The sequence below is a fragment of the Homo sapiens genome, chromosome 2 (genome assembly GCF_000001405.40).
Source record: "Homo sapiens chromosome 2, GRCh38.p14 Primary Assembly".
Taxonomy (NCBI): domain Eukaryota; kingdom Metazoa; phylum Chordata; class Mammalia; order Primates; family Hominidae; genus Homo; species Homo sapiens.
The window spans coordinates 123,666,531-123,680,567 of NC_000002.12; the positions used below are offsets into that span (position 1 = coordinate 123,666,531).

At 33.7% G+C, this 14,037-nt stretch overlaps 1 annotated feature.

Annotated features, from left to right (window-relative positions):
- Nucleotides 12,810-13,010: a silencer, noted in NCBI's record as "peak3845 fragment used in MPRA reporter construct". NCBI's record gives its function as "represses an SCP1 promoter by STARR-seq MPRAs in K562 erythroleukemia cells {active_cell/tissue: K562}" and the evidence as "EXISTENCE:reporter gene assay evidence [ECO:0000049][PMID:32103011]".

Consider the following 14,037-nt stretch of genomic DNA (forward strand, 5'->3'; position numbering starts at 1 on the left):
TTTACTTTAGCCACCCAAATAAAGGACTAAGTTTCTTTACTCTTATTTTACCCTTCAGAAAACTGAGCCTTAGTGTATGGCAAATAAGAGTTCAAGTCCTGTGCACACAAATACTTGAAAAACAAAGGCAACAGTGGCCTGTGTTGTTCTATCCGTCTTTACTGCTGACATCCTGATTGGTGATAGATCTGGATTCTTTAAACTGTCCCCTAACCGGGATTTTTGTCTGTTTTGAAACAATTCTTTTGCTTACAGCCAGATTTTGTAAAGCAATGTGGTACACATTGTGCTTTGACTTTATTATATAATGTTTTTCTGGTTCATTTCTGGTGGTCTATCTGCTCATCCACCTTCTTTGCACTATTGTTTCATGGCTCCCATACTGATACATTTCTGTTTATTATGCATTTGGGAATGTCTTTTATGTCTCACTCATTTGAAGACAGTGAAGGAGAGAGGCCAAGGGAATAAACTGAGTTCATAGACTAATAGATGTTCCATCGTTTCTGAACCCTTGAGACCAAGAGTCAATTCTGTGAGCTTTGGTCTTCTGTGGGCCAGCAGGAAATCACTTGAGTAGAAATGATGCCTTTTATGTCACAGATCCTTTGGAGGCCATTTTATGTTTACTTCTTTTTAGCTAAAATAAGGAATTCAACTGAAGAAGTGATTGCCATCCTTCATCCTAAAATTGTATTTTTACAAAAATATAGTGTCCCTCTATTTCTTTATTCAGCCAGTCCTTCCGTGGTACTCTGCAGCCTCAATAGGAGTTCAGGACGCTTTGGAAATTTGTCCACTCACCTAGAACAAGTTGATCTTAACAAAGAAATTCTAGTAAGAACACTACCTTTTGGAAATCTTTGTGGTCAGTCCCTCTTTAGCACAGGTTTGTTCTCAACTTCCTTACTTAGCCTATGTTCACTACAACTGGCAGAATTTCATAGATTAAGGTTTGCAGTTGGGCAATTTTTCTGTTTTTATAGATGACATTTACTGTTTCTTGTTCTTTCTGTTTTGATTTGGTTTCAGAAAGACAAGTCTTACTTAGTTATTTTGACTGGAAGTGCATAGTAAACTTTCTAAAACATAACCCTGATTTCTTTGCCTAAAATCTTTGTGTCTCTACTCTCTTCAGTGTATATCTAAATTTCTTAAGTTGGCCTTTAACATCCTTCATGACTTAACCCCTGCCAACTTTCCTGTTTCATTGATCAAAACTATCCTTTCATATTTTTGACTTGAGATAGTCTGAATCATAACCATTCACAATTCCCTGCACATATACAAATCTTGTTCACTTCGAGGACTCTGTCATCCATCTGGAAATTTCTTTAAAGGGAGATAAGACAATTTTAAGTTGCTAGTGTGTAGGTAGGATAATTATTTTAAATTATAATTTCTATTTATAATGGACCGTATGGTAAAATAACAGTTATATTTTTGTTTTCCAGGGAATTAGTTTTAAAAAACAGATTCATTACCATCTCAAAAAATTAATATTATAAAAACTAATCATGTCTATCTGCTCATCTTTTAGTAATGTGTTAATAGTAGAATGAACAGTGATACTTAGAAATAACTGGTATAGAAATTATTCCATTTTTATTTGATTTTGTATTAATTAAAGTACCAGCAGGTACTCAATAATTAAACCCCCAAATTTTAGAAGTTTATTTCTCCTTTATGCAACAGTTCATTGCAGGTGTTTCTGAGTGGGGGGGTGACTTACCTCCATATGGTAATTCAGGGACTCCAGTTACCTCTATTTCATGGCTCTGGAATATTTTAGTGTCTCAGAGATCTCCACATGCAGATGGAAGATAAAAAAAAAAAGAGAGTGTAGAGAGAGCATCTGCTCTTTTTTAAAACCCCAAGATTGTTACTGAAACAGTAGGGATTTGGTCTAGGTTCTGCTGCTTGCTGCACAGAAAGCTGATTACTGAGACAACGATTATTGCCAAGGAGGAAAACTTTAATAGCATGCTGCAGCCAAGGAGATAGGTGATAAGTCTCAAATCCATCTCCCTGACCAACTAAAATTAAGAGTTTATATAGCAGAGAATAATTGTAACAATGTGTAAGAAAAAAGGAACTAGGAAGGGGTAAAGAAGCAATCATGATGAATGAGGGATCTGGCATGTGGTGATCTGGTCAGTTTCAGTTATTTTATACTTTTCTATTGAGAAGCCACAAGGTCGTTTTCCTGAGGAAGAAACTAAGGTAAAACAAATGTAAGTTTCAAGCTTCAAGACCAGAAGGGTCAATTTCTATGTTTATCCAAAAAAACTGTCTATGGGACTATTGGGTCAATTTCAAGGTTATACTATATACATAACTTGAGCTATTTCTTTGATGAGACCTAGTTACAGGGTCAAACCTGTATGCAAGGGGAGAGATGGAAAATTAATCTTGTGACTGAGAATCTTCTTCCCAGGGGGCAACTTCATGTCACAGAAGAGGAAGCATGAATGTTAACCATCTGTAGCATTGTTGTATTCTAGCTGGTATATTTTCTTTGAGTTAATCTTTCAATATATTTTTCTTTGAAAGTGTGTATCCCAAAATTAATACTTTATCAATGTCAAATAATACATCAAAGAAAAGAAATAATTATATGATTATAAGGAGGATCTGTTACTTTTGTAACCTGGCAAAACAAGGTGACAACATCTTTTTCTCTCAAGCCCAGTTAGAGTAGGCAGATTGTTCTTCAATCTTCAGAGATAGGGCTTAATTGGCATAAGTCAATCAATATATTCCATGCTTTGGATAATTGCAATTGATCAAGAATGATTATATGCTCTATTTGGGGCCAATAAGAGTCAAGTTTGAAAGTTTTATTTGACTTCTGCAGATGATGGAAGTTTTGGGGTTTTTTGTTGTTGTTGTTGTTGTTGATTTTGAAGCTGAGAAGACATATGGTATGGAACGACTGTCCATTTTCTCTGCCAGGAGATTTTATCTAAAATAGAAGGAGAGAAATTATCTAAAAATAAAATCAGCACAAATAAAATGAGACCAAGAGACACAGAGAGAGAAATTAGACTCTGTTTACATATTTTGGGCATTTGAATCAACCAGTCATGACGTCTACCATTGAGATTTTTTTCTGAAAAAAAAAAATCTTACATTTTGCTTATGTATATTTTTGTTCATTTTTTCTATCAATTGAAATACAAAGAATTCTGAGTGACACACATGCCAAATTGGTATTGAAGAGTCTAGCAGATAATGGCTCTTCTTCTTAAATCTAATTGAGGAAAACAAATAAGTGACCTATAAAAGCCAAAAGAAACAGCCAAAAAACTGAACATCCCAGATATGATTGCTAATGGACTTTCTTCATTATTGATAAATATGTTTCCACCTGAGTAAAGATACTAAGTTGCCCAACATCCAATAAGAACAAAAACAAAACACTAATTTTAAAAATGAATTATAAGCTATTTGAATTTGAAAAGAGCGAAGGGAGAGTTTAAATATTGTCTTCTGGTGGCAGAAAAAGAGAGCTAAATAATACCTCGAAATTTCTTAAGCTATCCAAGTTTAGTCTAGAAAAAAATTGCAGGTACACAATTAATTGGAACATGATTTTGCTGCCATTATGCAAGATATCAAGATATGAATTGTGTGTATATGTATATATGTCTATTTTTATTCATTTTCCTATTAATTAAAAATTGTGTGTGCATATAGATATGTATTTATTATATATTCTTTAAAAATATATGTGTGTGCATATGTATATATACACACACATATATAAAGAGAGAGAGCCTTCTATATTAGAAAATGATGTAAATATCAACATGCCACACTCTTTCTTGACTCATATTTGGTATGGATTAAAGGACATAATAGGCTATGTGAAAATATTTTTATATACAGTTATGCATCACTTAACAACAGGAATGCATTATGAGAAGTGTGTCATTAGATGATTTCATCATTGTGCAAACATAAATAGAGTGTACTTACACAAATCTAGGTGGTATAGCCTACTACACACCTAGGCTGTGTAGTATAACCTATTGCCCCTAAGCTACAAACCTGTACAGCATATTACTGCACTGAATAGACAATTGTAACAAAATGTTTAAGTATTTGTGTATTTAAACATAACTAAACATACAAAAGGGACAAGAAACATAAGGTTTTATAATTTTACAATACTACCATGATATATGTGGTTTCTCCTTGGCCAAAATGTCATTATGCATCACATGCTTATACTATAAAGTGTTAAACATATGACAAGTATTATTGGCATGGGTATAATTATGCAAGAAATTAAATGTCCACTACAATTCTAGTGGGAGAATAATAATAAAATCTTAAGTAGACTGGAAAAAAAGTTTTTAAAATAGCATTGAAAATAGACATCCAAATTCTTTAAAAATCAAAGTACATTACATGCAAATTAAAAGCTTTTAAAATTTGCTTAAGCCTATAAAGGACTTTTATCAAAAAGCATTATTTTGAAAAACACAGAATTGCAAATAAGAATTACATCATTAATATTATAATGTATTTATTTTTTCAAAAAGTCACCAAGCATTTATGCAAAACACTCAAAATTACATGACATAAAATCATGCAGAAGATATGGTGCTGCCTAAGCACTGCAGGAATTGGAAAGCATTACAAATGGAAAAAAGAACACTGATTAAGAGATGTATAAATATATTTAAACATACTGTAAAAGAGAACAGCAATAACAAATCTACTGCTTTTGTGTGATTCATATTACGTGCGAGACTATTCACTTATCTTTGTTTAGCACAGGCTTCACAGTTTCTTTTATTTCAAACCTTTCTGTGTGAGTAAGACAATTTGGCAAGCAATTTGAGAGGTGGTTGTAACATATCCTACTAAATTGTCTTGTTTTTCCCCACAAAACACTTAAATAGCACAAATACTTTGTCAGATCAATGGTAACATACTGTCTAAATGAAGGACTGAAGACCATTAATCAAATCTAAATCAAAGTGAATGGCTTAACTTTACTCCATTTGGAGATTAAATCTAAGCATTTAAATAGACACACCATAAAAATACATAGTTTACAATATTTTCCATCCATTCACTTTCTATGTGACAGTAATATTGCCAAATTTGACGTTTTATTTTGTTCAAGATCTGTCTTACAAATTATTTTACCAAGTATTTTATACACTTTAATCATAGAAAAACAATGTTAAAAACAGTTCTATAAAAAGTAAGAATTGAAATGTCGAGGCCTGAGGGAAGTCAGCCACAAACAAATTGAAGAGTCTGTTTGTGCCCTTAGGAATTTCCCAGGGTCTGGACGTTCCATCTTCTTGGGAACCACATGGTTCTCCCTGTCTCCCCCTTGCTTATAAGCCTCCCCTCACCCAGATGCAGACTATGAAGGAAACTCTGGTTCAGAAATCCGCCATGACTTGAGCTCTGCATTTCTCTCTCTCCTGTCTAACTTGACGCCATTTACACCTGTCCTTCTCCCCTGTCCCATTTCATCACTTTTGATGGATTTTCTGGTTTGCCATCCTTTTCTAGCTGCACTCTGTTGTTTAGCTGATGGAGAGACGACTGCCCCTCCATTTGCTAGCTGTTCCCTCTATTGCTGACCTTCTTGGTCAGAGTCTTCTTCATGTAAACTCATCAACCAGGGCTGGTTGTTTGCTTAATTTTCCAGAGCTTGTTATAGGATCCTTGGCCACACACTCCTTTTATTTAAAATCTACAACTTGGAAATAGTTTCTAGGGTTAAACCTTCCCCCAAGAGTACACGGAAATCCTCACTTTCTACTAAAGATGAAAGGACACCTTCCAATTCTTATTTCATCAAATTAAAAGAAGGTGAAACTGCAAACAAACCTTTTATTTAAAAACAAAAATATAATTATAATATTTACCTTTATATTATTCAAGTACTTCTTATTTACCAAAAATTTGTTATGAACTTTCTAAGTAATGTCGCTAATTATTATTTAAAAAGTAATTGGCCTGAAATTAACCCCTGAGTTTAAATGTAAATACGCTCTAGTAGATTATGGTGAGTAAAAAGACAGCACCCAAGAGTTTTAAAGTTTCTATGTAGTAAGCAATATAAATTAAATTTAAACTTTGAGTAATTTTCCTTAATCTGAGATTGGGCCATGGCTGAAATAAATCTTTCAGTAACAGCAACAACAAAAATATATGTCAAACAAGTACTTATCTCATTTTTCTTGGGGAATAACACTGGATGCATGCTGTTGATAAGTCCAGATAGGTTTGATGGGAAGCATGACTTTATAAATATTTTAGCTGTCACAGCTAAGTCTTGTTCTACTTGCTTGAGATTTTCTTTTGTCTGATAGGTATACATAGCGTGCACTGTGACCAACACACTGTTGTAGGATCTTGAGATATTTTTGTGTTCTTGTTTGAGCAGTTACTCCTGGGAAATGAGAAGCTGAGATGAAAATGGCTGGAAAAGGCCATAAAAGACACGTGAAGATTATGACAAGTAGCTTTAAAGAGTTTGCCAAAATTTAACTTGGATGGGAATGTTAATGTCCTACACACGATATTATTTATGGAAGTAATAATGTCAAACTATAATTTTTTGATGTCATTGTTATATTTAATCAGCATGGGAGGACATGACTTGTTGATGAGGTTTTCCCTGGGGAAAGAAAAAAAATACTTCCAGCATAAATATACTGAAATGATGCTTAATTTTGGAAGTGAGGTGAGAAATGGGGAAGCCAGACTTAGATTAGATGGAGAAAAACCTTTTCTCTTAGAAATGTAAAGATAGTTGAATTCCTAGACTATGGCTATTTTCAAAAGTCATTAACCACCCACAACATGGGAAAAACTCATCTAAAACAATTCCTGATGTTCTTTGCCCTTAAAACTTACTTGGGATCAGTGACAACTAATCCTTCCAATGGTTCAGTCCAATAGACTTGGAGCCGTCCAGATTCCTTTCCTTTACTCACATTGTACATCCAGTCTGTAAGCTCTTGTTATACTATGGAGACACTAAATAAAGAACTAGAAACTGACTAAAATAACTTTAATTATTTCACTGAAAATTAGTCAAATATCTACAGCATCCAAGAGAGCACCACTCAAAAAAAAAAAAAAAAGTCAGCTTAAAAACATACAAGAAATGTCACTGTGATTTGACTCACCCTTGTTTCCTCTCCTCCCTAGCACAATGTGTCACAGTTTTAGGGGACTGACAAGCTGGCCCCACTCCCCATCAATGAAGCACAGAAAGCCGAGCTGATCAAATTTGCAATTTCCACCTTGTGTAAAGGCTGACTAAGTGATTTGTCTCTGTGTCGCCTAACACACATCTCAAAAGGCTAAAAGCCAGGAGAAGCAATGGATCCAGGTTGTGAAAATGGACTACAGACTTTCAGATGCTTGGGAACAAGATATTTCAGACAGAGAAATACAATAGAATAGTAAGGCAGTAAGAAGAAGCAAGGGGCAGTAAGAAGAAATGGGGCAGTAAAAAGAAGCAGGGGCCAGGGGTGAGACTATTAGGGAAGTTAAGATATTGAACTGTTATTCAATATCTTGAATTGACTGTTAAGGAAGTTAAGATATTGAAAAGCAACTTGTGTATACCAGGGAATTGGAAAAAACAAAACACAAACAAAAAGCAAACAAATCAGAAAACAGACACACACACTTCCAAGAAAGACACATGCCCAGAAAAGGCCAGAAAAGAGCTTAAGACTCCATGCTGGTTGATTAGAAAATGTCTTCCCATGCAAGAGCCAGTCTGCAAACATGGAGAAAGGTAAATGTCTCTTCAAATGTGTAATACTATGGTTTGAATATTTGTCCTCTCCAAAACTCATGCTAAAATTTAATTGCCAATACAACAGTATTGAGAGATAGAGCCTTTAAGAGGCCACTGAGTCATGAGGGCTACTCTCTCATGCAGTATTCATTAAGGATTCAATGCCTTAATAAAGGGGCCTTCAGAAGTGGACTCTCCCTTTGCCCTTTTGCTTTCTGCATTGTGGTGACACGTAAGAAGGTCCTCATAAGTTGGCAGCACCTTGATAATAAACCTTCCACCCTCCAAAACTGCAAGCCAAAAAATTGTGTTAATTATAAATTACTCAATCTGTGGTATTATAAGAGCACAAAATGGACTAAGACACCCAATGTTTAAAAAAAAATTACAAGGCACACACAAAAAAAGGAAAAATATGATCCACTTAAGGGAACAGATATATAAATACATCCTCAGAAAATGTTTCTGAAGAAACACCAACTTTAGGCTTACCAGAAAAGACTTTAAAACAACTGTCTTAAATATGCTCAAAAAGCAAAAGAAAAACAAATAACTAAAAGAAATCAGGAAAAAATATATAGGAACAAAATGAGCATATGAACAAATAGAAATTATTTTTAAAGTACCAAACCGAAATTCCTGAACTGAAAAATGTAATAACTGAATTGACATTTTTAACCACATGGGTTCAACAGCAGATTTAAACCAGCAGATTAAATAATTAGGGAATTTAAAGACAGGCCATTTGAAATTATCAAGCCTGAGAGGCGAAAGGAAAAAAACAATAAAGAAAAGTGTGCAGACCCTAAAATTTATGGGACACCACCAAGAAGACCAGTATATATTTTATGGAAATTCCAGAAGAAGAAGTGTAAGAGAAGGGGTGGGAAAGCTTACTGAAAGTAATAATGGCTAAATACTTCCAAAATTTAGGGAAATAAATAAATATACAAACACAAGAAGCTCAAGTTCTAGGATAAAACCAAGGAGACACACTACAAGACTCATTATAATCAAATAGTTGAAAGCGAAAGACAAAGAGAATCCTGAAAGAAGCGAAGAAGTAACTCTTCATGTACAAGGGATCCTCAATAAGATAATGAGCAGATTTCTCAATAGAAATGTTGCAGATCACAAGGCAATGGGTAATATATTTAAACTGCTGAAAGAAAACAAGCAAACAAACAAAAAATAGTGTCAGCAGAGAATTTTATATTTAGCAAAAATGTCCTTCCAAATGAAGAGAAATTGACATTCTCAGATTTTTTTTAAGCTGTTGACTACAAACAGACCTATCCTACACCAGGAGTGAAATGTAATGTATAAACTATGAATTTTGGGTGATTTTGATGTGTCAATATGGGTTAATCAGTTGCAACAAATGTACCACTCTGGAAGGAGATATTGATAATGAAGGAGGCGATACCTGTGTGTGCCTAGGGATATATGAGAAATATTGTACCTTCCTCTTTTCTTCTGAACCTAAAATTGCTCTAAAAATAACATCTTTAAGAATTAAATAAAAAAAAAACAGAAAATGTTAATGTAGATGTGTCAAAATTTAAACTTTTGTGTACTGCTGGTCAGAATGTAAAATGAGGTAGCTGCTATAAAAAACACTGTTGTGGTTCATCAAAAAATTAAAAGTAAAATTACCACATGATCCAGCTTGACACCTTCTGAGTATATGTAAAAATAATCGAAAACAGCATCCCACACGTGTATTTGTATGACTGCTTCACAGAAGCATTACTAGTAATAGCTGAAAGTTGGAAGCAACCTAAGTGTCCATTGACAGATGAATGGATAAACAAAATGTAGTAAATACATACAATGGAACATTATTCCACATTAAGAAGGAAGTACATTCTGGCACATGTTACAACATGGATAAATCTTGAAGACATCATGATAACGAAATAAGGCAGTGATTAAAAGACATACACTGTATGATTCCACTTATAGGAGGTACCTAATACTCAAGTTTATAGAGATGAAAAATAGAATTGTGGCTGCCAAGCACTGGAGGAAGGGGATAAAGGTGAGTTATTGTTAATAAGTATGGTTTGACAAAATAAAAACAAAATGTTCTGAAAATAGATGGTGATGATGTTTGCACAACATGAATGTACTTCATGTTACTGAACTGTAGACTTAAAAATTGTTAAAAGGACCAATTTCATGCTATGTATATTTTAGCACAATTTAGAAGAAAAAACCAGGCAACATCTTACCTCAAATTCTTTGCATTGCCTCTTTCCTCTGTTCTTGTCCAAATTTATCAACACAATGAATTCTCTCAATGCTTCCTGTCTTTACTCAAATGTAATGTCTCAATGAGTCCAACACCGAGCATTCCATTTAAAATAAGACTGTGCCTAGAAACTCTAAAGCTTCTTGAACCCAATATAGTTTTGATAGCACTGATGATGTTCTACCTGACAATTTTAAAAAGTATATTAATTCTATTATATTTTTTTCTATTTCCCCAGTAGAATGTAAGCTTTGTAAGAGAATGGATTTTTATCTGTTTGCTTACTAGTACAATTCCAGCAACCATGACACTGCCTGGCTTACAGTAGGTTCTCCACAACCTTAATCTTGAAAGCTGAATGGAGGTTGCTGCATAATTAACTACATATTTAATGTCATGCCTGAGCCTTTTGATCCTAAAGATGTCAAATTTAGTTATAAGCTATGTGTGGGTTTTACCTCCTTCCCATTCTCAATGAGTCTTTATCAAATGGTACAACTTGATCTCAGCTGATATTGTGGTGAATTAGCCAAATATCTATCCAAGCTTGAAAATAATATATAAAATAAAAATGCATTGAGGGCAATTTAGGAACACCCAGAGGTAATCATACAAAGCCAACTAAAGACTTCCAAAGAATCCCAAGAGAAAAACAGATCAGTCTCCAGAATGAGATGGATGGTCAAGGTGTAAGCAGTACTTAGATTTCATTTGTAGCCATCTTCAGCATGTACCCAGAAATACCTGGTGTTGTGGAAAACTGGATTTCCAGCAGTCAAGAAGAATGGGATCCTACAGACAGTGTTTTGTAATATTACCAGAAATCATACTCGAAAGTTGATGAAGGATAGAATTGTCCAAATAACCTCATAATGATGCAACTCTAAGATATATTAATAATTTTTTTTTGAGATGGAGTTTCACTCTTGTCACCCAGGCTGGAGTGCAGTGGTGCAATCCCGGCTCACTGCAACCTCCACCCTCTCGGGTTCAAGCAATTCTCCTGCCTCCACCTCCCGAGTAGCTGGGATTACAGGCACCTGGCACCATGCCAGACTATCTTTTTTTTGTATTTTTAGTAGAGACAGGGTTTCACCATGTTGGCCAGGCTGGTCTCAAACTGTTACCTCAGGTGATCCACCCACCTCAACCTCCCAAAGTGCTGGGATTACAGGCATGAGCCACCGTGCCTGACTTAATAAATTTTAATATTATAAACAGGAAATTTTAAGCACAAAAAATGTCCCACTGGTTATTCAAATATGTCAAACTCACAGACATCTGATTTTAGCATAAAATTCTCCAATGCATAAATAAATTGCTGTCTTCTTTTAAAATTTTTAAATAAAGTATAAAATTAATTATAAAGGTTAATTTTACTTTCAGGAAGCCAAGAATTAATGAGAAAACCTAGACAATTAAAACTTTCCTGGATGAATCAGATTACACCCTCTTCTGTACTATAAATGGAAATGTTATAAAAAACAGTTAAGAAAAGAAAAATGTATATTAATAAATATGTAAAAGAAATTAAAAAGGGTACAGAATACAAGGTAACATATAATTCATGGTTTATATCTTTCAAAATGTATTATATTTTAATGAACATCTTTTGAATGTAGTCAAGTAATTTTTCTAAAGCATTTTTCTTAGAGATTGGAATAAAACATTGGTGAAAATATCATCAAATATCTATTTCAGTTGTAGAACACAATACATCTGGGTATAACTTACTGGTTTACTTATTAAATTTCTCATCTTGTTCTGATGAGCAGAAAAGTGCTTTAATATAAATGCAGTTAAGTTTGTCATTTTATATCTACTCAACTTAGTTCCCCAAATTTATTACTGGTATCATCAAATTGCTCTTAGCAATTTCAAAGCATATGAAGAAGAAAAATGTATCAAGTCGAAAAGGAAGTAAAACTTTCCTCAACATAATTAATGTCCATTTTTATTTTTATTGTCTGATCAATTATTTTAAAAGGTTACAAGATAATGCAATAAAATTTTGATTGATATGCATGGCCAGTATCTCAGAACTTCAGGAGGTAAAACAAATTTCAATAAAAACAATTATAATAAATTTTACCAGAGGAAAAAAAGAACTTAGTTCAACTGAGATTTCCTACTGGGCTTAAAAAGTATGAAATTAAAGGCAAGGAAAAAATCATTACAAGCTATTTCTACAGGATGCCCAAAAATGTGCTTAATTTACTTCATTTCTAGACTCATTTTCAAGCTAGTTACTTCACCTTGTGCTACTCAAAACAACTATTTAATGTAAAGTTTTCTGGTGATTATCTAAATGGTTGCATATAAATGTGCCTTTTCTGGTTAAAGATTCACCCTATGCTCATGTATAAAAATAGTGGGCAAATATTAGCCTAATAATAATCCATGTGCTTGTTTACAGTTCTGCTCTTGTAAATAAGACTTTTCTGTCTTAATTAGAGACACTAGCCTTCATAGATACAATCAGTATAGAAAAGCTATCTGAATTAGATTTTAAATATATTTTAAATATAGATAAGTGGACTCTATGAATAATTGCATGTGATATATAAATAGTTTAAGTAAAATTCTCTTACAGTCAACCAAAACTGATTGAAGTAATAAAAGTTTTCCTGTTTTGATTGAAAACAAGAAAAAAGGGGCAGGGAAAAGCTATGTACCATTAACTACAAAATGTAATAAATAAACAGTGGTTAAATACTCGCCCTACTTCTGACCCTTTGCTAGGCCCTAGAAATACACATGCCATCTTTTGTGTCAAGTATCAGTAACCAAAGTACCAGACAAAGTTTACTGCAGAAGTGAGTCTTGCTTGTTAAAGATGTCTTAGGAGTTAATCAACAGAGGCAAAGGGCGGCACGTAAGTGCAAGGGACACTATTCCCAGTAGAGCCAATCAAAAGAGAAATAGCACAGCTTACCCAGGAAACTAACAAAGTGCTATCAAATTGCTGCCGGTGAAGTGAAAGGAGAAAGATAAAGCAGGAAAGGGAGGAAGAAACCAGAGAATTAGAACTATACAAGGAGCTTGAATTATATTTGGTGGGTAATGCAGAGCCATTGAAAATTTTTACCAAGAAATTATATTATCAGACATAAAGAATTATAATTGTTTATGAAGCAAAACAACAACTAAAGATCACAATTTCCCAAATAGCCATTAGGAAATACTAAGAACATGCTTTCTTCTGTAATCTTATTTATTATTATTTTTTAATTTTTCACTTTTCATGTCTCTGTTGCTCTAATTACATAAATGGAATTGATAGCTGCCACTCAAAACATTGCACAGAAAAAACTCAACTGGACCTTAAAACCTGCGTGGGAGAAACAGGCTTAAAGGCAGATTCGAACACCATTTAACTGAGTATACATGAATTCAACCACTCATCTGTCCGACCTTCATAGATTATTTCATCCACTCATGCATCAATCATTTATTGATTGCTGAGTTCACTTACAGTAACAAGCTCCTTCTTATCCCTAAGAACTGCATATGTTTTTTCCTTTCCATAGTGCTTGATAGCATCCACGTTTCAAATGTAACAAGTCATTTCAAACTTACCTAGTATGTTTCTTGCTCTAGACCAGAGATTGGCCATTTATTTTTTCAAGAAGCCTTTTGGTTCCTTTGGGTAGAATATTATTTTATCTGTCTCAAGGGGTGCTTGTTGTTACTGGCTTGGTCGTTATTTTCAGGACTTGTCATTGAACAGAGCTAATAAATATATTTATTATTTTTTAAAGATAAAATACATCATAAATCTATAATGATATTTTCAAATATTACTATATCAAAAATATATAAATATACTCAGTATGATTCAATTTATATAACAATAAAGAACATGCAAAACTAAATAGTTTTATTTGTGGATGATTCATAAGATGGTGAGCCTATCAAAGAAAGCAAAAAAGTTTTCTCTATACCTGGCATAATTAGCTTACCTCCATGCATGAAGAGGGCTGCAACCCTA